This window comes from Homo sapiens, chromosome 10, assembly GCF_000001405.40.
Source record: "Homo sapiens chromosome 10, GRCh38.p14 Primary Assembly".
NCBI classification, from domain to species: domain Eukaryota; kingdom Metazoa; phylum Chordata; class Mammalia; order Primates; family Hominidae; genus Homo; species Homo sapiens.
In genome coordinates, this window is record NC_000010.11 from 3,471,695 (window position 1) to 3,496,650 (window position 24,956).

Below are 24,956 nucleotides of genomic sequence, written 5' to 3' on the forward strand. Positions count from 1 at the left end.
TTGTTAATCAAAACTTTTTTGATTACTTTCTTTATCACTTTTTTTTTTAAATTCAGAAGTATTTTAGTGGCTTGGCTCCCTGCCGTCTCTCAAAACTGTAGTGAGGTGTGAGGAGGGCAGGAGCCGACCCCGTCTGCGTCTGCACAGACCATCGTTCTGTGGGTATCAAAGCTGCCATGTCCCTCCCAAGAGACACAGCAACATTTTGTGCTACAATAGTTTACTGCATTTAGTATCCATTCATTATTGAAAAACAGATTTTTCTCATAGACTTGGACCTACCCCTCCCAGGAGAACGTTATGCAGAATTTTTCTGCATAACGATGTGGCTTATCTTTGATGTGGATAGAAGCCACTGGGCATCTCTGTTTGGGGCATTTCTTCTCTCCAACCTGCAGCGGGGGCAGCGGGTCATTCCAGAGAGGACACAGCAGTGACGACGAGACAAAATCGGCGTTTGGGTTTTCCAGGCCATCCATATATTTGGCCCAAGTAGATTTACTAACCCACCACTGTCACTGAAAATCCTCAACAGCACATTTTTGCTGGGGACAGAGAGGGGGAAGGATGGTCTGAATAAGGAAATGGCATGTGTGCTCACTGTGCTTACGCTTGGTAGAACAAGAATGTCAAGAAAGGAAGGCCTGGCGGGTGAGAACAGGACCCATTGTGCTGGAATCCTGTTGGCGGCAAACAGAGAGTTTCAGTCTGTGGTGAATTCACACTGTTACTAGGCATGGAAAACAATGAGAGTTTTATGAGACTTGTTTACACATCTAGAAAATACATCTAGCTCCTTGAAGCAGAGTGTGGTGGCAAACGTCTGACATTCAGTTACTATGCACAAAAGAGTTCCTTCCCACAAGGCCGGCAGGTTCGGGAAGTCCTCCCGTATTCGAGGTACCAGGAGCCATAAATCCATATTTAATTAGCTTTGAACGAAATGCAAGAGATGATAGGCTCTTTGTGCTAAAAATGAAACCAAAACCGACCGGGTTGATTTATGTCTAATTCAGAGTTGTAATTTAATTGAAACGACATCCTGAATTTTAAAAATCTCTCTGGCAAAGCCCATCCCACGTGAAATTCAAATTCAGAGTCTTAGGGCTTAGGAATCTCCATGTTCTGATTCTCTGCCACATTGCTTAAGATGTTTACTCAACCCTCTTCAACAGCTTACTTCCTTAACTGGCTTGCTTCTCATTAAATCACTGCATTTCTTAGTGACTCAAAGTTATGAAGCTCAAGTTTGAATACAAACACGTCGGGATTTCTTAATGGATAACTTATTTGACAGTCCTTAGCTCTCCTCTTCACCAGGCACATGTCTATGGGAGGAGGCTGACGCTGAGTTTAAATGTTGGCTGCTGAGGCAAAGGTAGAAATGAAAAGGTCAAGAAAACGATGAATTTAGAAACTTGTGCCAGATGGTGAAATAGAGATCTCAATAGATAGTGAAATCTTAATAGTACACCTGGAAAATATAGATTCACAATCAAAACCTTAGCTGTTATGCAAGTTTTACAAACAAAAAAAGAGGAATTCCTCTAAATGAAAGCTTCTATCTTCTTTTACTCTAGTAAGAGCAAAAAAAGAATGTAAAAGTTATGAAATAATACTATTTCAATAGCAGGTTAATGAATTATTTTTGAATAACTTGAAATATATGCGTGCACTCATACATGATCAACTTCCTTCGGGCAGGTTGCCCAAATGCTTTATTCTTGCTAAGGTGTTCATTACACACAACACCATGTGGCCACCCTGGGCGTGGGCATCCCTGCAAACCACAGCACAAGGTTCTCTGGGCCCCTTCGCAGTCGACCTCAAAGCAGCCACTCTTGGTGTTCTTTACGTCGACTTTTTTTTGCACAGCAGGATGTCTTGAGGGTCCCCAGGCCATTGTGTGCATGAAGTGTGCTCGTCCCTCTGCAGGTGACACCCCGGCTTGTGGTGAAACCCTGGCTAGTGGATATGCCGGCATCCCCTGGGATTCCAGTCCATCAAGGTGGCCACCGGCCACCAGGGCTTGTAAGAAACCCTGCTGGGGCTTCTCACCTCCTCACCTCCTACTCACCCCACCAGGCATGGGATGCAGCTTGCGTCTCTTCCTTTGGGGGCAGGCTCCTTACCTTCTAGACTCTGGCTCATTTAGGTTCTTCTGGGTCCTCAGTGTTCCCACAGGCTGTAGGAGCCTATGATATTAGAGACGATCTGACTGTTCCTCACTGTTAGGCTGTGTATGTCTCTCTCTATGATGTTTTATATCCTAACCAGAAGGAAAAATCTCCAAATACCTGAATATATACATTTTATATATCTCCTTTGGAAAAAAAAAAGCAATGGCCAGGTGAGGTGACTCATGCCTGTAATTCCAGCACTTTGGGAGGCCAAGGCAGGTGGATCAGTTGAGGTCTAGAGTTCAAGACCAGCCTGGCCAACATGGCGAAACCCCGTCTCTAAAATAATAAACAAATAAATAAATAAATAAATAATAAGCCAGGTCTGGTGGCAAGTGCCTGTAGTCCCAGATACTTAAGAGGCTGAGGTGAGAAGATCGCTTGAGCCTGGGAGGCGGAGGTTGCAGTGAGCCAAGATCAGGCTGCTGCACTCCAGCCTGGGTGACAGAGCGAGACTCCATTTCAAGAAAAAAAAAAAAAGAAAAGCAGAGAATTTATTTATATTTATTTATTTCCCTCCCAGCTATTGAAGGTTCCCAGACCTGCAGGTGGGCCCTGGAGTTGAGGGTCCCCCACAGTCCGCCCCTCCCCGGCTTCTGTCCAGCAACCCTCTTTCTTCACTGAGCCCTGTCCCCTGTCCCCAGCACATGCTTCACTGAGCGCTGTCCCCTGTCCCCGGCACACGGGTTCCCTGACTTGCTGTGTGTTACCTTCTGAAGGTAAATATTTTGTACCACCCTGGAGTAGGTTGACTCTTGTTTTGTAGAATCAGGAAGATTTAGCGATAACTGGAGACTATCTGATATAAATAAAATTTTACTGTATACATGAGAAATAGAAGTCCCGGTATTTTTAACCTATAGACTGTATAGTATAACTATTTTAATTTAGACTGAAGTGTTTTTAGCACCCTCCGGCAACTTAGAAATATTCATTTAGTCCTTTCTTTATCAAGTAAGAAAATGAACTGCTGCTATAACAACAGTCTTTATTAACTGACCACAGAATAGACAAAATAAAAACTGGAAACATCACCCACCTTTTCTGCTTTTTACAAATTCTATTTAGGAAGCATGAGTTACCTCTATTATTAAATACAATGAGCATTGACAGCAAAGCAATTATAATTTTAAATCAAAATTTTAGGAGAAGCGAAGTTTGGGTTCCTCAGCTATTTAGTTTTCAACACTTGGGGAGTAGTCATTTAGGTAAGTATTTTTAAGGTACTGTTTGAGGTGTCTACATGAGTGTGAGTGTGCACACCACACCTAAAATACAGAGAGATGCCTCTTCCACAAACTTCAGTTTATCAAACTGAAAGTTCTTCTCAACTAATCTGAGAACCAACTTGTAAGAAAAAAAGAATTTCTATTTAGTGTTGGTGGCCAACTGGAATATTCTTAACACTAAAACTCAATTTTACAAAACTACTGTTTTAAATTCTTCCTCTTAGACTCATTGTTTTATGTTTAATTTCTGATCCAAGAGAATTTTCAGCTTCATTTAGCATTTTTATCTCCTCCACCCCCAGCTGTAAAGAAAAAAAAACAAAAAAAACCAAATTGGAATTGTAAGCAGTTGAGGCAGGAATCCAAGAGGTCTTTTCCTGCGATTCCAGCCCTTTCTGGAGGGTTCTGCCCTTTCCCCTTCAGGCATCTGTTCTGTCTTCTGTGAACCTGCTGCCCACACGGGAACGCTGTTTCTCATACTCTGGGCTCTGGAGGCTTTCACGTCCATCCGGCTGTGTCCATCCTGGGCACATTTGCCTTAAACATCACTTAAAGGGTTGCCAAACAAGTCAGTAATCAAGACAAATAATACCTTAATGCAATTTTAAAGTCAAAACTAATGCAAAAACATCCACTACGAATAAGATATTAAAATCTTAACTCAAGATGAGGTTATTGCCTCTATTCTATTTACACTTCCAAAGTCACTAACTCTGATGAATTGCCAATATCTAAAAACACATCATTCTGTATTCCATTTCTATGTTATATGTAAATTTCAATCTTATGTGCTTAAGTTATTCCTTTTATTTCCAGTATTTTATTCGTGTGTTTGGGGTATGATGGTGGGAGGGTCCTTTTTACACTTTTTATCTTTTGCTACTAGCTGTATGACATTCAGCAAGTTACATAGTCTTTCTTTTTCTCGATTTCTTCTTCCATAAAATGAGAATGAGTATCTGCCACACAAGGCTATTAGAAGGCTCGGTGAATTGGCACCTGTTAAGAACTGAGAGCGACACCTTGCAAAAGTGACTATTGTATGTGTTGACCTTTATTATTGCTGTTTTTGTTGTTGTTGCTGCTGCTGTTGTCTTTCCTGTTCTATTACAAGTCAGATTCCTTTGTGTCTCACCCGTGGTGTCTGCGGTGAGGACCAAAAGACTCTCCCACATGGTTGCCATATTTCTCAGCATTCATTCCCCTTCCACGCTTGGAATCGTTTAGCTTTCCATTCCTGCAGCAGCTGTACTGGAAGCTGCGTGTTGTCTGCTTTGATGAACATAGCCTGGGATGCTGTGGGCGCGAAGGCAGAAGGAAGCAGCTCCCGCCAGCAGGAGGGCCCTGCTCCACTCTTAAGCCTCCGAACCACAGCACTTTTAAGGAATCCACTCAGCTGTGTAAATTGAAGGATTCCAGAAAGCATCCTCCAGGGTGACGCTGACCTAAAATTCTACCACTTATCTTAGGCTAAGCATTACATTTTGTATTCAACCCTCTTTTCAAACGCCAAAACCTTTACTTTTTTCACCTTGGCATAAAATAATTTAACAGGTACCTCGCAGATGGGGGAGTAGTTGGGATGAGATACCCAGGATTTCAAGAGAGTAATTACCCAACTCTTCAATGAATACTTATTACACATCCGGTAAGCGTTCAGCTTGTACAGGGATCTGAAGATACGAGGAAATGAGCAACGCGGTTCTTTCCCTCAAAAGTTAATGGGTAAAGAGATACATGGGAGAAATGACAAAGTGTACTTGGGCTGAATTGGGCACTTCACTTCTCTGTGCTGTGGTTTCTGTACTCTGAGGACTTAGTGTAGAGAAATGCATAAAGACATTGATTCATTCCAGGTACTGGCACGTTACAAATCCTCGGGAAGTGTAAGCTGTTGTTCTTATCAACCATAGTAGTAGCAAGATCTTAAAAGATCAGTGAGCCGGGAAGCTCTCACAGCAAAAAGGGTGGGTGAGTGGGCATTGAGGAATGAGTAGGAGTTTGCCAGGCAAACAGGAGATGGGAGAGAAGAAGAGGATTCAGGCATAGAAAACAGCAATAGCAGAAGCAGAGACATGGGTAGAATAGGGCAGATGGGAGCCGCAGAGAGAGTGAGCCCAGTTTCACAGTAGGATTTACCCCACATGGACCCTCTGGTGACCACAGGGCCCCAGGACAGGCACTGCAGGACGGCTGGTGAGCAGCTCCATTTGTGGGGTTTTGGAAGCATCGCACATAAACCTACAGAGCCTTCTTTTCTTTCTCCTTTTCTTTTTTCCCCACCAGGGGCACATTTCTCTGTTTATATTTTCTCTCATTCTAAAACCATGTTGACAGATATGATTATTTACGAGTTCGTTAATAAACATTTACGGCAATTGATATGGAAAACAAAGTATGTGATCCATGATGAATCAGAAAAAACATCCTCACAATATATGTAACAGAGTGATATATAAATATAATGGACATCTTTACTTTTATAAATGAATGTGAAAATATTACAAAGTAACAATTATACATATATATTTCACAGGAAGAGAGTGCAAATGCCCAATACCTACAGGAAAATAAGGTAACTCATTGTAATTTATTTTCTCTCCTCTTCTGATGTTTCTCCTCACCTCTTTTTTTCTTGTGAGAGCTAGAGGATAATTCAGAATAAAGTCCCTGCTCTTCTGTGCTATGCTAGACTACAAGTATTTCAAAGGTTGAGGCTATGATTTCTCACAGTAACACCCACTGCATCTAGGGCAATGTCTCAAGTGGCGTAAACACTGAAACCTTTCACTTGTGTAACACATTTTTGTTGCTCACTTATATGAGTCAGCTGCTGTTCTAGTTCTTTGAGATACGTTGTTAAACAAAGGAGTCAAAAATGCCTGTCTTCCCATAGCATAGATTTCATCAGGTAGAATGAGGAAATGGTGGAAATGGACACAGAAGATATACGAGTAAGCCACACAGAATAGAGCAGGAGAGAAATTCTATTTATGTCCAACAGCAACTATTTTGTAAAATAATATTTCAAAGGCTTGGTGTAGCAGGGAGGTAAGAAGTTTAATCAGAAATGCTGTGACCGGATCTGAAGGTTAAAGCCAACATGTATTGATGATGTGAATTTGCTCACCTTAAAAGACATTTCTTAAAATAAAATGATTCTAAAATTCTAAATTTGGAGGAGGCTGGGAGGGTTCAATGAGCATCATAATTTATACTTCTGGGAAAGAGGATGTAGAAGTGAGAGAAGATACAGACCCAGAGAGGAGGGTTTCACTCCCAGTCTCAGAGGCAGCCTTGCAGCCTCATGTTTCTCATGCATTTGGAGGCATGGCCTTTATAAATCCCACTCATCCAGGGTGACTTCCGCCCCCATGAAAGTGGGAAAACATGGACAAACTACTGTTCTATCAGAAGCCCTCACAAAACACCCAACACTTTTTTTTTTACTCAAAGACATGTTAAATGTTTAATTAATTAATTCACTAATGAAGCCCGTAAGCTGTGCCAGGCATTGCTGGAACTGATGGGGGTTCATCCTTGAGTAACATGACAGCAACCAGTCTCCCTGGAGCTGATATTCCAAAAGGAACTTTTCCTAAGTCAAGGTTACATCTGAGCAAACTCAACATCTGATGATTCCTTTCCCAATGGCCCAACCTTCTGCCAGCTGATTATACTGAGAATCAACAGGTTTTGGGTTTTTCCCACTCCATCCCCTGCCTCTCACCCATTCTCCATGACTGATGTCCTGATCTTGTCCTGGGAGGCTGACCCTAAAGGATGGTACTAACCAGCTCCCTGGCTGGCTGCCTTCCTGTGGGGTTGGCCAATGAAAGTCACTGGCTGGAGACAGGAGGACGGAGAAGAGGGAGGATGTGGTATTTTCTCTTTGCTCTTGGAGCATTAGCGCACGGGCAGCCCCTGTGTCCATCCAGGGTGTTAGTGGCCACCGCTGGTCGGCTGCTTCTCCGTAGCTCCATGTCCCACTGAGTGCTGGCAGCTCCATTTCCTTCCTTGCTCTCTCCAGCCTTCCTGCTATTGCTGGGCTCAAGCGGCCCCAGCACCCCTTCAGAGACCCTTAGCTCTGCCCCAAAATCTGTAAATAGTCTTTCCATCAGTGTCTCTCCTCTGAAAGGTAAGAGTGCAATTCTGCTGCCTGCTAGGCCTCCGCCTGATAATCCAGCTTTGCACCAAGAAAGGGAATCTTGGTGAGAAGCAAGGAGATGAATGCATGCTCTAAGCATTAAAATCTCAGGCAAGGCCATGCTGATGTACAGCTCTTGTGGACAAGTGAACACAGAAACGAGAGTGTGTATGCGGAATCCATCACAGAGCATCCACAGCCTGTGGTGACAAGTTCCCCCGCAGGAGAGCAAGCTGGGGATCACAGGAGTGTGTGTGTGTGGAAGGCACTGTGTCTTTTTCGCACATCCAAGAAGGCTCTTCTGAGAAATGGGCTTTTAGGAATTACTTGAGTCAATAAAGTTTTGGGCCCAAAGACCTAGTATCCCCCCGAAAGTGTGAAGGTCCAGAGATAAGAAAGAGTGATGATATCTAGTCAAAGCTAAAGCTGAGCCAGTTCCCCAGAGTGAAGAGGAATGAGAACCTATAGAACTAAGACCCTGGAGGGAAGGTGAAGATTTATGTCATTGTGGGGATGGATGTGAGCTGTTGAGTACTTGGGGCTTTATGGGGAGTCTAATGAAATGCCATCAAAAGACCAGCTGAGGGGGCATCACACTCACATTTGTGGTGTTGTGGATGAGGCTATTGTCTGACTGAGAGGGGCTGGAGGGGGAGTTGAGGAATTAGTGCAGTCCCGAGGCCATGGGGGCAAGATCTTGAACGAGTCCATCACAGGCCTCCATGTGAAGAACTAGATTTGAGAGACAAGTAAAACAGGATTGAGTTCAGCACCCAAAGGTTGCTTGTAGAACAAGAGATAAAGTCACCCTGAGCAGAACCCAGAGCGTCTTGTTGGGGAGGTTCTTGATCACTTTAACAGGACACTTAGGATCAAGCCACATCCCAGAAGGCAGGAGATGACCGCTGCCTCCAGCCTGTTGGGGCTCAGCTCTGCGCTGAGGCTTTTCAGAAAGGCCTGTGGGTAAATCGTTAGAAAGAATGGGCCACAGAGACAGGCACATGCACTTGCCTGTATGTATCCTTTGTGTTTGATGTTGTTCTTTGAAGTCTTCTAGAACTTGCTATAATTGACCAAGTCTTATGATTGAAAGAGTGAGGCTTTGAGGCGTCTCAGACCTAAGGTCAAGGGCAGCTCTGCCCTCATTGGCCATGTGACTCTGGGAAAGTGACATGGCCTTCGTTTACTAGTCTATGAGGTGGGGATAATAACAGTAAGAGCACAGCACTGTGGTAAAAACGGATGGCTTCAGGTGAACCTGCTGACTCACAGCGGGTTCCCTGCGACTTCAGTTCTCACTCAGAAGACATAATCCAAACTGTCTAGTGCTTAATGGGTATGTTTTCTCTCCCTGTCTGCTTCAACCCCCTGGACTTGCCCCTGAACCTCCTCCACCCCCCAAAAACTGTAAATACCTTGAGTTTGGGGGGACACCTTATAAATAAGTATTCCTGCATGAACTGTCCATTGCCACAGGCTCTTAGTAAAGACTTGTTGGATTGCATCGGATTGCTATCCACACTCAGCAGCCTGACCCTCAGCAAAGCTCAAGGATTCAAGGTGATGGGCAAAGCAGGCAGTTTTGAGTCCTACTGGGAAGCTGGAGTGGGCTGGGAATGCCGGAACCTCACTCGGCATGTTCCAAAGCAGAAGCTCTTGGTCTTGACTGAGTCTTAGAATTAGCTGGGGTGGGGTAGGGGAGGTTTAAACATCTCTGATGCCCAGGCCTCACTCCAGATCCATCACATCAGACTCTCTGGGGGCAGGACCCAGGCATAAGCATTTCACAGCTCCCTGGTTGCTTTCTATGTGGAATCAGGGTTGAGAAACTCTGTTCTAGTCCACAGTATCACCAGCAGACATGGGGAATTACAGCCATGTCATAAGTAACCCTTGGACTGCACTGCCTCTGATAAGATCCACAAGGTCATTGCCTTTCTACAAGTCATTGATGATGGGAATCCCTGATCATTTTCAAGATCTCAGTCATGAATATTGTGGATTGAAAAAGAAATATGTAGAAACAGGAACAAAATACTTTCATTATTTCTTATCCTTTGGCATACATTGAATTAGAAAACAAACCATCTAAATACTCTCACTTCAAGTTTAAATTTTTGTGAACTCTGGAAAAATAGTTTATTTATTAATTCATTTATACACTCACTCGTTCAGCTACGCTCTTCAGCAAATTGTATGTGGATTTTCCACTAGAACATAAGACAAGAGGGCATTGCCTGGTGTTCATTCACCATGTCTCCTTCACCCGTAACAATGCCGGGGACACCTCGAGTGCTTGTATTATTCTATGCAGGCTGCCATAACAAATACTACACACTGGGCAGCTGAAACCCAGAAATCTATTTTCTCACAGCTCTGGAGGCTGGAAGTCGAGATCAAAGCATGGGCAGGGTCGGTTTCTCCCAAGGCCTCTCTCATGACTTGTAGATGTGATCTTTCATCGTGTCCTCACAGGGTCATTCCTCTGTGTGTCTCTGCGTATCCAAATGTCCTCTTCTTCTAAGGACACCAGTCACATCGGATTAGGGTTCATCCTAAAATAACCATTTTAACTTAGCCACCTTTTAAAATGTCCTGTCTGAAAATACAGTCACATTCTGAGGTTGTGGGGATCAGGGCTTCAGCGTATGAATTTATGGGGGAGGGCAAAATTGTGTTTATAACACTGCTCGATGCATACAAACTAAAATGAATAGATGAAAATATTTGTAACAATGGAATTGGAGAAAAATGTGAAAATTCATTTGGGGTGCTTGTTAGATCTCCAAAAGAGTAGGTTTGGGGTAGAAATGCTGGAAATTCAGTGGTGGTCTGGGGTGAGCTGCCTTGATACTTGATCTGTCTTCCTTGGAAGGCATGCATCAGCCCATACCTTAGAATTTGACAGGAGACAATATCAAGGAAAACTTTCTCATCTCACAAAGATGGGAAAGAGGAAAAGTGATCTGCCATCTCCCTGTGTGTAGAGGAGGGCAGTGGTGCACGGAATAGGAGAGCCAGCGGATGCAGCCACTTGCCCTGCAAAGTTTGCATGGGCAACTGGCGTGGGCAGCGATGCTGCTGTGACAGAGGCCGAGGTGCCACCGGTGGTTCTGAGACGTGTGGAGAACATTTCACTCTTGGGAGCTGCTTCTTAGTCACCGCAAAACATCCATCAGAAACGAATCTGCCCATGTCCTGCCCGTGTGCTTCTGCAACATGTTGTAACCTGACACCGTTTTTGCATAAAGTTTGTAATTGGACCATTGCACCAAAGAAACCTGAAAAGCCTGCCGTGAATCATCAGGCACGGGAAGAAAGAGAGTGATGTCACGGAAATCTCATTAAAGTGTCCCCGTGCACATTGGAGATTCTTCGTTTTGTGCCACAGTCAGGAGAGGGGAGAAAACCTTTCCTAGGTGATGCTCCCTTGAAGGCTAAGTCTGAGTGTTTTAGGTATTTCCTTTTAAAGAAATCATGCACTATGACAAATGAAAGTGTGTAAGATTGCATTGTTACTTTCCTGTGCATGGCTGGACACACACTGGCGTCAGTCCTTGCCTGGGAAACAGTGGCATTCTGTACTTTATTGGAGTGCATTCTTGGGAAGCATTTGTTTGAGATCCTCTAGGGTCATCTAAGGGGCTCCCATGGCAAAGTGGCTGAAGATAAAAGTCAAGGTGAATCTAGCAGCTCAAAGTTTTCATGGGTCATTTATGATGGGTGTTAGGTCATCATCCTTGCCTATAAGATTGGAAATTAGGAGGCAGACTGACGTTTAAGCAAACAATTAGTAGTGTAAGTAAAGTTAATATGAAGAATAAGTCAGCTGGGCATGGTGGCTCACACCTATAATCCCAGCACTTTGGGAGGCCAAGGCAGGAGGATCAATGGAGCACAGGAGTTCCAGACCAGCCCAGGCATCATAGTGAGACCTAGGTTAAGACCTTGTCTCTATTAAATTTGAAAAGATTAGGCAGGGGTGGTGGTGCCTGCCTGTGGTCCCAGCTACTCAGGAGGCTGAGGTGGAGGGTTGCTCGAGCCCAGAAGGTCGAGGAGCAGTGAGCCATGATCATGTCACTGTGCTCCAGCCTGGGTGACAGAGCAAGACCCTCTCTCAAAAAAAAAGCCAATTTGAATGTTCTGTGTATGTATGTCTACATGCCCATGTGGTATGTGTACACATGTGTATGTGGATGCCTGTATGGTACATGTACCTGTGCCTGTGTTTGCATATGTGCACATGCATGTGCACGTGTAAATCTTTATGTGTATGTAGGTTTGTGTGCAAGAAAGTACATGTCTATATGTGTGTTAACATGTGCATGTATGTGTGCACATGCCTATGTGTACACACGTACAATGTGTGCATGCATGTACGCACCTATATAAGCATGTGTGTGCCTGTCTGTATGTGTACATCTCTGTGTACACATACATGTGTGTATAGGCATGTATGCATGTGTGTGGCTGCCTGTACGTGTACGTCTGCATGTGTCCACATATGTGTGTATAGGCATGTATACATGTGCATGTGGTTTGGAACAGGGAGCTACAGCATGACAGGCATGGCATTGTTCAGAGAAGAGAAGTGAGAGAAAGCTCCTGAACTCCTCCTCAGGAAGGCATCAGGAAGCGCGGCCTCTGCCTATCGGGATCTCACCACAGGGCTCTCCTCCCGACCCACTCCGCTGTGAGTAGAAGGGGGACATTGTCCCCACCAAGCCCCTGCATCCAGTTCTTTCCCAGCTGCTTGCCTTTTTCTCTGCAGGCTCCTGTAGGATGTACAGAGCCTCTTCAAGGGTAGTCCCTGTGACTTCCACCATGGGGTTGAGAGTGCAGACTGAGTTTTATGGAAATATCTCACGTGGTTCCACTTTCTCTGTTGGGGCCACTGAGCAATGCATTCCTTCTGGGCCCGTGTGGCCTTATTTTTCTGTTTTTTTCTTCACGCCCTATTGTTGAAGGTTCTATGGTTTCATATGCTTTATCCCGATAGCATGTTGCCCCCTCATAGCAGCTGGTTATTTGGCCCTGATGAGGTGGAGCTGGGGTTCCCGTTCCGGCTCCAGCCCTGGGCTGTTTGAAATTCACCCCGCCCTGGCTCTTGATTTCCTCTCCCTCTGGTTTCTAGTAAGGGGAGCGCCAGTCCAGTCTGAGCTCCACTGTCACTGCCGTCACCTTCTGATGGAAACCTGCTAGTTGTAAAGTCACCTCCCTCCATGCTCCATGGGAATGCTTGACGACTCCAGATATCCTATAATTAACTGCAGGGCTTGACGGGGGACAGAGAAACTCCACCGCATGTTTATTTTTACAAAGAGGCAGCCGCACAGAGGTTGCTGAGCACACATTTATGCTGAAACACTCGCCTAGGCAGCCCTCTTCATGGCCTGTAGGATGACAGTGAGGGCACTGTTGTGTTCAGCAATTGCCACAGGAAATGACTTTATGCAAATAATCCCAGGGGAGATGCTGTAGGCTCTGAGAAAGCCGTAATTACAGCTTCCACCCGGGCATTTTCAGTGATCAAGTCTCTGGAATGTAATCTTTCCAGGCCTTCTGGAACTGGGAGTGATAAACAATCATTTGGGATAATTGCCCGAGAGCAGCCTCCACTCTCCCAGAGGCCGTGGGGCAGAAATTCCAAGTCCCTGCCTCTGAGAAGGGGGTCCTTTGGCCACCTCCCTCCGCGGTCCTGGCCAACATGTCTGCATCTCTGAAATGGAGCTTTCCTCTCTCCTGGGCTGTTCGGAAACCGCCTTCTGGGATAGACATCTCCAAGGAAGAGCTGTGTCTACTTTGTTTCTTCCCCGCCTCTCACACCCGGTTCAATGTGATACCACAAATATGGCGAGCTGTTTGAAATAATTTGCAGAACCCAACACTGAAGACAAGCTCCAACCTTCCAGGGTATATTTTGAGTATTTTAGCACGAGTGTCAAGATTTTATGCGTTACAGTATGCTCATGATATCTTCCCTGCGGTTTATTTTGGGCGAGATAAAATCTGTAGCAATTAGTTTCTCACAAGTCTATTTTATGCAGAAGAATCTGTTATTTCCTAGGCGTGTGATTTCTTTGGTTTTACCTTTACCATGAGTGTCTTCCTTCCCAGATCTCTGCTCCCCCTTGGGGTTGGCAGTTGTCCTTCGCTTCTGCCTTCTGGGCTGTGCTCCGTCCCTTAAATGCTGTTTGGGAAGACGTCAAGTGCAAATGAGGAAGCTGCTGTAGGTTAGTGAGCCATACCCAGGACCGAAATAGAAAAGTGCTGGTACCAACAGGAAATGAGAGAGTGTGTGTGCAAAGATGAGGCTATGGTTGGGATTTTGTATTTTAATCTTGTCTGAAACGTGTGTATTTCTGTCATGGGAACCAGCAAAGGACGTAGAAACAGGTAGCGTAAGACCCCTTAAGATAAAGGGAAGGAGTCCATTGTTTGCATAGAGCAGGTGTCTATGGGCGGTCCACTTTCTCTCTTTGCGTTTCTTCGAATTCTTCATTTGTACTCCATTCAACCACTTGTAAACCCTTGGTCAAACTGTTAATTGAGACGTAAATTCCATTGTAGGTATCCCTGCGATCGAAGGAAATAAAAATTCTGTCTCTCTGGAATTAGGAAGAGCATGCAGAACGTTGAAAGGGTTTAAGATGGACTAAGGTGTGTGTGAAAATGCCTCTTTTCAAAAAACCAGAAAAGAGAGCCTGCACTAATTACATGATTGTGCTTTCTTTTTAAAAAAGTTTCCAATTTTACTTAAATGGGAGAGAAACCACAGCGGATGAGGCACTCCAGGCCTTTTTCTTTTTTTCAGCAGTGGAGCAGCAGAAATCATGGATCACAAGTGTCTCTGTAATCAGGCTGCACCGAGACATTTCTCGGCATTTCTGATGTTTCAACCCTACCCCACCTGCCAGGAGGAGGCTCCAGCCCGCCAGGAGGGCAGGAGGCCATTGCTGCTGCCACTCCAGAACCTCATAAGGGTTTATTGTCTGCCCACAGTGTATTTGTCAAGGTGGGCACCTTGCGTCGTGGGGCACTCTGTTTTTTTTTCTCTCTCTTTCTTTATATATATGCATACACAGACACACACACACAAACACACACACACACACGGTCATTGCAGTTTACAAAGAAAAGAAAAGAAAAAAAAGAAGAAAAGAAAAGAAAAAAGGCAAACCAATTCCCCTCTGTCTGGGACCCAGATCAGAGCCAGCCTGCCATGACCAGTCTGGAAGAAGGTGGCAGAGAGGTGGGGCAGCTTCCCGAGGCCTGGGAGGTGCGTCTCCATGGCAACTGCGGGGCTTTCCCAGATGATGTCACACATCACACAGGATTCCTGAGATCCACCTGGAGATTGGCTGGTGAAGGATCACTGCCTTTTATCTTGTTCCAACTCTTTATTTGCGCTATAGACAGGCACTGTTTCTTACTTTAGCTCCGAGAGCAGTTTCTTCTTGATACCTAAACTGCTGGGCTGACCCCTTGTATCCTAGATTCTTTACAAGGGGGAAAAATATGTTTTTTAAACAAACGTGTTACCAGGGTGAAGTCTGAGGAGCTGGAAGGGAGGGAGACAGGGGCTTTGCTGTCCTGAAGTGATGCCTTTGCTGTGGCGTGACAGCTCAGACTGGAGCCGGGCCCCAGGGAAGGGACTAAGTAGGTGTCTGTTGCTTTTCCAGCTCTCCTACTAGCCGATCAGCTCTTCTCCCAGGTGGACCTCCTGATCCTCCGGAACCTCCTGGGTCCTGTCCCAGCAGCTGCAATTTGCAGAAGAGGAGATTGGTCAGGAGGGAGATGCCGTGGCCTCACTAGCAGCTGCAGGCTCTTTGCCTGTTTGTGGTGTAAATGTTTGAGTCTCCCCCTAATTCACATGCTGAAATTCTCACCCCCAAGGTGATGGTGTTAGGAGGTGGGGGCTTTAGGATATGATGAACTCATAAAGGTGGACCCCCCATGAATGGGATTCGAGCCCTTTTGAAAGAGATCCTGGAGAGCTCCCTCACTCCTTCCTCACTCCTTCCACCATGTGAGGACACAGTGAGAAGCCGCCATCTATGACCCAGGAAGCAGATACTCACCAGATACCAGATCTGCCAGAACCTTGATCTGGGACTTCTGACCTTTAACACTGTGAGAAGTGACTGTGCTGTTTGAAAGTCACAGTCTATGGTGACAGAACGCCACAGGGGACTCAGATATGGCCCCCATGCTTGCTACAGGAAGCCTGCGGTGGAGCCCTCTTCCCTCCTTGAAGTCTGGATATGACTGAAAAACTGTGGGTTCAAGTGTAAACAGGCTTGTTCTGTGAAGATGGACCTTTATTCTGGTAGATTTCAGCGTGTCTTGCTTGTATTCTCAATTGTGACTTAAGATGGGTGTCGCTGGCCCAGGGTGAGACAACGGGAACTGGCATGGATGCGGCTGGAGGGTACGCACCCTTCTTAAGTGGTAACAGGTGATGTTCATGGAGTGTACATTCTGAGCCAAGCATTATTTTTTTTAATTAATTCTCTTTATAAGTCTATGAGAAAAGTGTTCTTATTAGCCCCATTTTAAAGATGCAGAGACGGAGACACCGGGAAGTTGCATGATCTGAGTGCCTTATGGCTGGTGCTGCAAGAGCTAGGAGAGGAGCCAGGAGGTCCCCGTCCAGTGCCTGCACCTACTGCCAAGCTGTCCTCCCTGCCAGGTCACCACCTGAGAGCAGAAGCTGAGAGAAACTTGCTCTCTGCCCTGGTGGAGGCTGCAGGCCCTAGGAGGGAGGTTGACTCCTTGCCCCACCAGCTCCATGATTCTGTTTTGTACGGGCCCCACATAGCACGTCCATCTGCCCTGGGCTGCGAGAAGAGGCACCAGAACTTTGCAGTCAATCAGTTCCAATAGCTGACTAAGACTGAATTGTGTTCATGACCAGCACTACTTGAAGCAATATAGAAGATGTACTTTGAGTCAATCAGGGAACTCTGCAGGCAACACTCATGTAGAAAAACAGAAAAAAAAATCAAGGTAGAAGAATACAAAGCAACTAAAACGGCACTCATGCAGAAGCCAATGCCAGGCATTCTCCATTGCTGATAGATTTAAGTTGCTGGCACGAGGCTAGAAGAAAAGGCAAAATGAAGCATTTAAATAATTCAATTTTTCACAAAAGTACAGGTTAATTCCACATCTTGGCGATTGTGATCAGTGCTGCATAAATATGGGGTGCAGGTGTCTCTTTGGCACACTGATTTCCTTTCCTTGGGGTGCATACTCAGAAGTGGGATTGCTGGATCAGAGTTCTACTTTTAGTTTCTTGAGGAACCTCCATACTGTTTTTCACAGTGGCTGTTCTAGCTTACATTTCTATCAACAGTGTACAAGAGTTTTCTTTTCTTGGCATCTTTGCCAGCATTGATTTTTTCGTCCTTTTGATAATAGCTGTTTTAACTGGGGTGAGATGGTATCTCATTGTGCTTTTGATTTGTATTTGATGATTAGTGATGTTGAACATTTTAAATATATTCGTATTTGCCATGTGTATGTCTCCTTTTGAGAAATACTTATTTTATCATAGCACTATTCACAATAGCCAAGACGTGGAATCAACCTAAGTGTCCATCAACAGATGAATGGATAAAGAAAATGTGGTGCATATACGCAGTGGAATACTATTCAGCCATAAAAGGAAGGGAATCTTGTCATTTGCGGTAGTGAGGATGGAACTGAAGGACCTATGCTAAGTGAAATAAGCCAGGCTCAGAAAGACGGGTCATGCATGTTCTCACTCATATGTAGACTCTAAAGAAGTTGACCTCATGAAGGCAGAGCATAGATGATGGTAACTGAAGGCTGGGAAGGGTGGAGAGATAAGGAGAGGTTGGTTAATGGGTACATACAGTTAGATGAAGAAATAGGTTCTAGTGTTTGATGATACAATAGGATGACTATAGTTAGCAATAATTTATTGTATATTTCAAAATAGCTAGAAGAGATTTGAAATTGATATGGTTTGGCTGTGTCCCACCCAAATCTCATCTGGAATTATAGCTTCCATAATTCCAATGTGTTGTGGGAGGGACCCAGTGGGAGATAATTGAATCATGGGAGTGGTTTCCCCCATACTGTTCTTGTGGTAGTGAACAAGTCTCGTGAGATCTGATGGCTTTATAAGGGGAAACCCTTTTCACTTGGTTTTCAATTCTCTCTTGTCTGCCACCATGTAAGACATGCCTTTCACTTTCCACCATGATTGTGAGGCCTCCTCAACCATGTGGAACTGTGAGTCCATTAAACCTCTTTCTCTTTATAAATTACCTAGTCTCAGGTATGTCTTTATCAGCAGCATGAAAACAGACTAATACAGAAGTTCTCTCAACACAAAGAAATGACAAATGTTTGCAGTGATGGATATCCTAATTACCCTCGTTTACCATTACACATTGTATGTGTGTATCGAAATATCACAGGTTCCCCATAAATATGTACCATTGTTTTGTATCAGTAAAGTGGAAGAAAACATTGAAAAATAATGACAAAAAGTGACAAATGTTTGCAGTGATGGATGTCCTAATTACTCTATTTGACCATTACACATTGTACGTATGTATCGAAATATCATAGGTTCCCCATAAATAGGTACCATTATTATGTATCAATAAAAAGGAAGAAAACATTGAAAAATACAGATTAAATTTTTGAATGAAACTTTATTTTCTGTTGTTTTTACCTCCCCCAATCCCCACGACCAGCTCTGAAGTATTCAGACAAAATTCCCTCTTGAGTATTATTAATAAGGAAGATACTGGGTGATGAGCAGATGACAAACCTCCTCTGATTGCCCGTCCTGGGAAACCTTTCTGCGGCATGTCGAAATGCACCCCTCCATGTAAGTCAAGAGCCCAACACTAATGACAAGGCAGTACAAGCTCCTCCATCTGGGGTCAGGCAGATAAAGTCCGAGTTCACAGTTTGTTTCTTTTATGCAGTGAAGAACAGAAGAATGAAATGCATATCATTTGTACAATTCCCCAGCAGTATTATTTCTCAGAATCAGGCCTTGAGATACATTGAAAGAACAAAAACTGTAAAGTTATGGTCTCAGTAATGTTGTATAAGTGTATCAGCTGGCCGTGACTGACATCCCTGCATGAAATGTATGGATCCTTCCAAGACTCCGATATAAATGGGAACCACCTCTCGCTTTTATGTGGAGGTGGGTGCTAGAATGCTGCAGGCAGCACCACTAAGGCCAAGAGACTCTGTCTTGGAAGCTAATCTCCCATGTTGGCTTTGATGAACCCCAGTTCCAGGAAGGCCTCCAAGATTTTCAGTTTATCGATTGTTCCTTGTGTTAGAGCAGGCACTTAGCATAAATCCTGCCTGTAGGTCAAACAACTGTGATGTTGTCATACTTCAGTTGTCCTGCATGTCTCTTCTGAACCACCCTTTCCCTGGTACATGAGCTCCAGGTCTGGGGCTAATGGCGGGGATCCATTCTCTTGTCTAGTCCCCTAAGACACAGACGTGGCTTCTGTTTGTAAGACACTGTTAAATGTTTCTTTTTAAGAGACTGGATTTGCCAGCCTCTTTCTTTGGCCTCTCAGCCTCCTTGGACTTTGGGGACAGGTTTGCATAGACTTGCCCACTGTGAAACAGAAGGTAGGTGTTGATCACTATAACCCTCATGCAAATAATTGCAAATAATTGGCTCGTTTAAGCCCCAAGTTCTACGTTATTGGCCGTAAAAATTGAATGGTGAAGTTTAACCAGTTGGTTATGAATGTAGTTTTTTATTTCAAGGCAATTTACCTATTTAAGCCTCAAATGCTTCATCAATTAATTGAGAATGGTATTAGTGCCTATATATTTGAAGGTGTTGTAAGATCCAAATGAGATAGTATATGTAAAGAAATTAGTACTGTGATAAATCAGGTATCGTATAGATACGTGATACTGTAGATAAATCATATAGTTTATGATCCATAAATACTGTTATAGGAGTATGGCTGTGATGATTTAATCTGGAACATCTTAAAACTGCCCATAGCATTTGCTCATGGAGGCATTAACATATATCAAAATAATCTCCATCATGATCAACTTTTAAGCAGTGTAGTTTTCCAGTGAACCCTTGATGAAGATAAATAAGTTACCAGATATACCCCTAATTAAGCAAATGAATTTATTTGCTCCACAGTGTTATTAGATATAGACAACTTTAACACTGGTTTTAGATCATAAAGTATTTTCTCCTGGCGACTGCAGAAAGAAGAGCTTTATGTCTCTATTCTGAATTGAGGAGGTATGGTTGGCAAGGGGTTGGGGAAGGCTTTCGTTTATTCGGAAGTCTTTTTGAATCCAGGCAAAGGTTAAATGTTTCATATACACCATAGAATAATATGCAGCCATAAAGAAAAAAAAAACAACATCATGTCCTTTGCAGTGACGTGTGTGGAGCTGGAGGCCATCATCCTAAGCAAACTAACACAGGAACAGAAAATCGAATACCACATGCTTTCAATTATAAGTGGGAGCTGGACGTTGAGTACACAGAGACTCAGGGAAGGAAACAACAGACATCAGAATCCACTTGAGAGTGGAGGTGGGAGGAAGGAGAGTAGAGAAAACTACTGATTGGATACTGATTACCTGGGTGATGAAATAATCCATATGCCAAACCACTCTGACATGCAATTTACCTATATGACCAATGTGCACATGTACCCTTGAACCTAAAATACAAGTTAAAAAAAAAGACACATATTAAAAATCAAAGGGCCAGAAAACAGTTTTCTTTCCATGACCCCAAATCTGTCTGGACAGTGTTCCTCCTGCCCTAACTTTCCCTCTGAATATATGTGTATGTGTATATATGTGTATGTATATACATATATATATGTGTGTGTGTATATATACATATATGTGTGTATAAATATATACGCAAGTTCTTTATAAACTTAAGTCTGTAGCTTGTGTTGAGTTCAGACAGCTAGTCCAGCTCTGCCAATTCACAGATGTTCCATGGAAGCAGATGATGGCTTAGGATATGGACACACTGAGTGTGGCTCTAATAAAGTTGTTTGTTTTATAATTTATACCTCGCTTTGTAAGGTAGTCTATCTTTAATAGAAATTTAAACATTCTGCTATGTTGAGACACATAAAATTATTTATAATAATTCTTTTGTTCCCCTCAAATGAAGCCATGATTTAAAGTTCAAACCTTGAAGTTGCCTGTACCTAGGTTAAAATCATGATTTGATACACTCCTAGCTGTAATATCCTAGAGGAGATACTCAACTTTCTGAAGCTTACTGTTTTTAACCTATAAAACGAGCATCACTGTACCTATCTGTTAGCTTTTGTTGTTCAGGTTGAATAAGATAATCTATGTACAAAGTATTTAGCGAGTTTCACCTAGGTTAAACACTCAGAGATTAGGAGTCTTCTTGTTATTATTTGGATCCCTGGTTTGTGGCTACAATTTAGTAGCCCGGGGAATATAGGCTGCAGCTGAACCACGGAGAAGCGGTTGTCTGATGCGCTCGTTCACTGTAAAATACTGCAACACCAAATGACTTTCACCAGTGACACTGGAACGGTACTGAAGCATTAGAGTAAGCTCTCAATAAGTAAGATCCATTTTATTACTATTATTATCATCACCATTGTTGCTATTCAGTCTAACCTGGAAATGGGTTGTGGGAAGTTTAATTTATTTTAAAAATGGAAATGAAAGTCAATACAGACATTAATTCTATAGCAAGAGGTTATATTATTTTAAATGGCTAAAAAGAGGTAGATTATCCTGGGAACAGAATTTGCCCAAGAAGCCAGTAATTGGTTGTTACCCAGGGTTATTGTCCAGGCAATACAGACACTTTGAGTAGCTCTGTGCATTCAACATTGTAACAGTGAGTGAGAATATTATCTAGAATGCGTGAGATGCCTGGAAATTGATGATGCTGGTGGAAAGCGGAGGGAAAGGCCACTCTGTGTGAGAAGCATCAGTGCGTTCAAATGAAAGAATCACTCCGTGATGTGTAGGCTAACCTTTATACATCTGCGATGACTGACTCACCTACTCACTAAAATGCCTATCTGCAAAATAACTTTTCAGTTGTAAATCTGAAACCATCCAACTGCCATTCCCAAACTTTTCCCACTGAATCAATAGTTTATAAAATAATCTCTAACAGTATAAGCTTTCTTGGAAACACAATTATCACATTACAGCCAAACATAGTGTATCTATGCTCTTTTCAAAACCAAACATTGTTTCTAGGAATGTAATGCAAATAAACTCTATATAAATACATTTTAAGTACTTTTTTTAAACTGATTTGTTTCTGAAAACTAGTTTCTGCACCAAAGCTCATGAACAGAGGTGTCTTCAGTGGGATTAAATACTGTCTCAAGGTTGGTTAGCGCTTTCAGATGAAGCATCTCATTTGCTGTCATAACAATGATACCTGCCTGACCTTATAAGAACAGGTATCATTATCTTCATTTTCATTTGGGTAAGTTGAAGTTTAGCAGACTTGAATGACTCATCTGAGGTTGTTCTCTCTCTCTCTCTGAGGCTGCCTCTCCACCTCTTTGACAATCCTCTCTCCAAACCTGTTTTTGTATATAAAGAGGACTAATCTTTCTGGTCTATCCTAATGTCCACTTTTGTACCCAGGAAGAGATTATTTCTTTGAACATTTCCATCACAGAACAAATAATTATATAAGGTTTTATTGTGAATTCTCTTAAAATAATGTAGCCCAAACTCAGAATTTTCAAGAACATAACTCATGTCCCAGAGCACAGATGATAACAAAATACGTGAACGTTTTTGTCTCGGTTCCTGTTAACACTGAAAACTCGGTCACATCGTATTTTCAAGGAGTCAAGGGCAGATTCCACGTGCCGTCTTCTGTATTGCAATCACCGAAGGTGTTTGGCGGGGAGCCCATGGCTCTGTGTCTTCCTAAGTTTTTGTGCTTTTTCCTGTCTGCTGTTCTATTAACCTTACTTAAGTAACGGCGTTGAGTGTGAGCTACCTCCTTTCTTGTTAGAAGTGCGTGAACGTCAGGCAAGCCTCACGCCGCCTGACTGGGGAATGCTTGCCCTCACTCGGCTTTTACGGGATGATTTCCATCACAGTGTTACATCACAGTGTATTCTAAGAAGCATTTAGCTTCAGGATGTATCAGAGTGTTTTCCAGTAAAAAGCACGTTTCAGGCCATGAGAAAGAGGCTGTGGATGAACCACACTTGGAATTCCGACTCCTGCGGTGCTCCCAGGTGGAGGAAGTGGCGAAGGGGGCACTGAATGTAGCCTTGGGACATTCCAAACGGGCGATCACCACAGAGAAAGTCATTTCTTCCTCTCTTTAGAAGCAGCTGTGTTTCCTCAAGAAAGTGACTTTATCTGGCTATTCCATGGGGGAAAGCGAGCTGTCTCAAAATTAGCCTTATATGCTGTGCGGTATTAAAGGAAAATTATACTTGGCTCACCAGTGAGTCATCGTACTGGTTTCGCTTTATTTTTATTTCTTTTCTACTTTAGGAACTGAAGCTTGAGGGCAACTGTAGGGGGAAGGTGGGGAGGATGGGAAAGATGCAGAGAGAGCCTGCGCCATGGTGGTCACGAGACAGAGGAGAGCAGAGACATCCCAGCGGCATAAGCCTGAGACCCCAGGCAGGGCATCAGCTCTCCGAGCCTCAGGGGCCTTCCCTTTGAGGACATTAGCAAAGGCGTGCTGGTCCTCAGCACTAAGCTCACATCCAGTGGACGCTGTTCACTGCCATCAGGGTGTGTGCATTCAGCGTGGCTGGCAGGAGAATGACTCCTTAATACTCTGCCGATTACGCTACTTACTTATTTGTATTATTTATTTTTTGAGACGGAGTCTAGCTCTGTCACCCAGGCTGGAGTGAGTAGCACGATCTCAGCTCACTGCAACCTCCATCACCCTGGTTCAAGCAATTATCCTGCCTCCACCTCCTAAAGGAGCTGGGACTACAGGTGCGCGCCACCACACCAGGCTAATTTTTGTATTTTTAGTAGAGAAGGGATTTCACCATGTTGGCCAGGCTGATCTCAACCTCCTGACCTCGGGTGATCCTCTCGCCTTGGCCTCCTAAAATGCTGGGATTACAGCCGTGAGCCACAGTGCCTGGCCCAATTACTCTCGAGTAAAAGAACAGTATAGATGTGACTCACTTACAAATCCACATACATACATCTGTTTAGACTCAAAACACGTGGGACTACATTTACTCTCTGCTATTTTGGGAACTCAGCAGGGAATTTGCCTAAGAAAAAGTTTACACCCTCAGGCCAGAAAGGCAACTGCGCTCAACCCAGAGTCCTGTAAATTAATTTGAAGTCTTTTGGGAATAATGCTGAAACCAAAACCCAAGAGTTTCCCCTTTTCCCTTTTGGAAAATCAAGGAGAAATGAGAAAAAAGAAAAATTGTAAAGACCAAGCATTAGAAATAAAATCCCTTGACTTGGACCCAAGATTAGAAAAGAAGTTAAAAGAACATACCCTTCCTTTATCTCTCTGCGCATGTGTAGGGTATAGAAGCAATAATCTTATTGTTACAAAATACAGACAGTAAAACTCGAATTAAATGGAGTGTTTGGGCAAATCATTACCCCGGACAGCTGAGGCTTTCCAATTTGAAGACAAAGGTAATACCCTCTAAGCACCATCATTTAAAATCAACAAATTTTTAATTATAAATTTTACATAATCCTTCTTCTATGTATTTTTACTGTCAGTTTTGTTTTATTTCTCTGATTATAAAAGCCACATGTGGTTAACACCAAGCAGGTTCATTTAGTAACGTCTAATAAAGAAAACAAAAAAATTACTCTTCATCCCATAACCCAGAAATAACCACTCTTCATGTTGTATCTCACCTTTGGGAAGAGCATTCTGAACCCCGTTCCTGTACCCTGGGGGGAGTCGGAGGTGTGATTCACAGCTCCTTGGAGCTCTCAGCCCTGTGGGGCATGCAGATGACAAAGCAGGATAAACGCTATGAAGACCTGTCCTGAGTGTTAGGAATGAGACATCCTCCCATTCAGGTGGAAGATAAAGGGCAGAAGAGAGAGGCATTTCCAGAGAGAACAGCCTGGAGGGTTTCAGGTAAAACAGCACCTGAGCGGAGCCTCAGAAGTGGGGAGAGAGAAAGGAGGTTTCCAGGCAGAGTAAGCATCGAAGTCCCAGCTCAGCCCCGTGTCCAGCGCTTACTGGGTGAACTGGGGAGAGGCAAGGCTGGAGCTTCCAGGTGTGGGTGGCTACAGGTCAGATCTTAGAAGTTGTTGCAGATCTGGGCAAGAAATTCACTTTTTTTTTCCTTTTTCTGAGGAAATAATGTGAAGCCAGTAAATGTTAAACAGATAACTAAAATGAAC

The 24,956-nt window shown here is 43.7% G+C and overlaps 4 long non-coding RNA genes across 7 annotated transcripts in view, besides 1 other annotated feature; 3 read left to right on the top strand and 1 right to left on the bottom strand.

The window, feature by feature from the left end:
* LOC105376360 (uncharacterized) overlaps positions 1 to 24,956 on the top strand; it is a 432,070-nt gene that overhangs the window by 153,000 nt on the left and 254,114 nt on the right. The window lies entirely within an intron of this gene.
* Positions 1 to 24,956, bottom strand: part of LINC02669 (long intergenic non-protein coding RNA 2669) — a 69,327-nt gene that overhangs the window by 38,183 nt on the left and 6,188 nt on the right. Inside the window, exons 4-5 of one of the 4 annotated variants that reach the window (NR_155744.1) lie at positions 24,459 to 24,904; positions 14,937 to 15,316 (exon numbers count right to left, since the gene is read on the bottom strand). The exons of 1 other annotated variant lie outside the window; for it this stretch is intronic. This is a non-coding gene — a long non-coding RNA (long intergenic non-protein coding RNA 2669). Of the gene's footprint in view, positions 1 to 14,936; positions 15,317 to 24,250; positions 24,905 to 24,956 lie in introns of those variants that run through there. 2 more of the 4 variants (NR_155746.1, NR_155745.1) reach the window with 2 other exon arrangements.
* Positions 1 to 24,956, top strand: part of LOC124902538 (uncharacterized) — a 51,559-nt gene that overhangs the window by 22,061 nt on the left and 4,542 nt on the right. The window lies entirely within an intron of this gene.
* On the top strand, positions 11,853 to 19,948 carry LOC107984192 (uncharacterized). The gene is made up of 2 exons (XR_001747329.1): positions 11,853 to 13,789; positions 14,127 to 19,948. It is a non-coding gene; the product is annotated as an uncharacterized LOC107984192 (long non-coding RNA).
* Positions 14,315 to 15,514: an enhancer, noted in NCBI's record as "BRD4-independent group 4 enhancer chr10:3528201-3529400 (GRCh37/hg19 assembly coordinates)". NCBI's record gives its function as "activates an origin of replication core promoter dependent on BRD2, P300/CBP, MED14 and CDK7 cofactors, and independent of BRD4, by STARR-seq in HCT116 cells {active_cell/tissue: HCT116}" and the evidence as "EXISTENCE:reporter gene assay evidence [ECO:0000049][PMID:35650434]".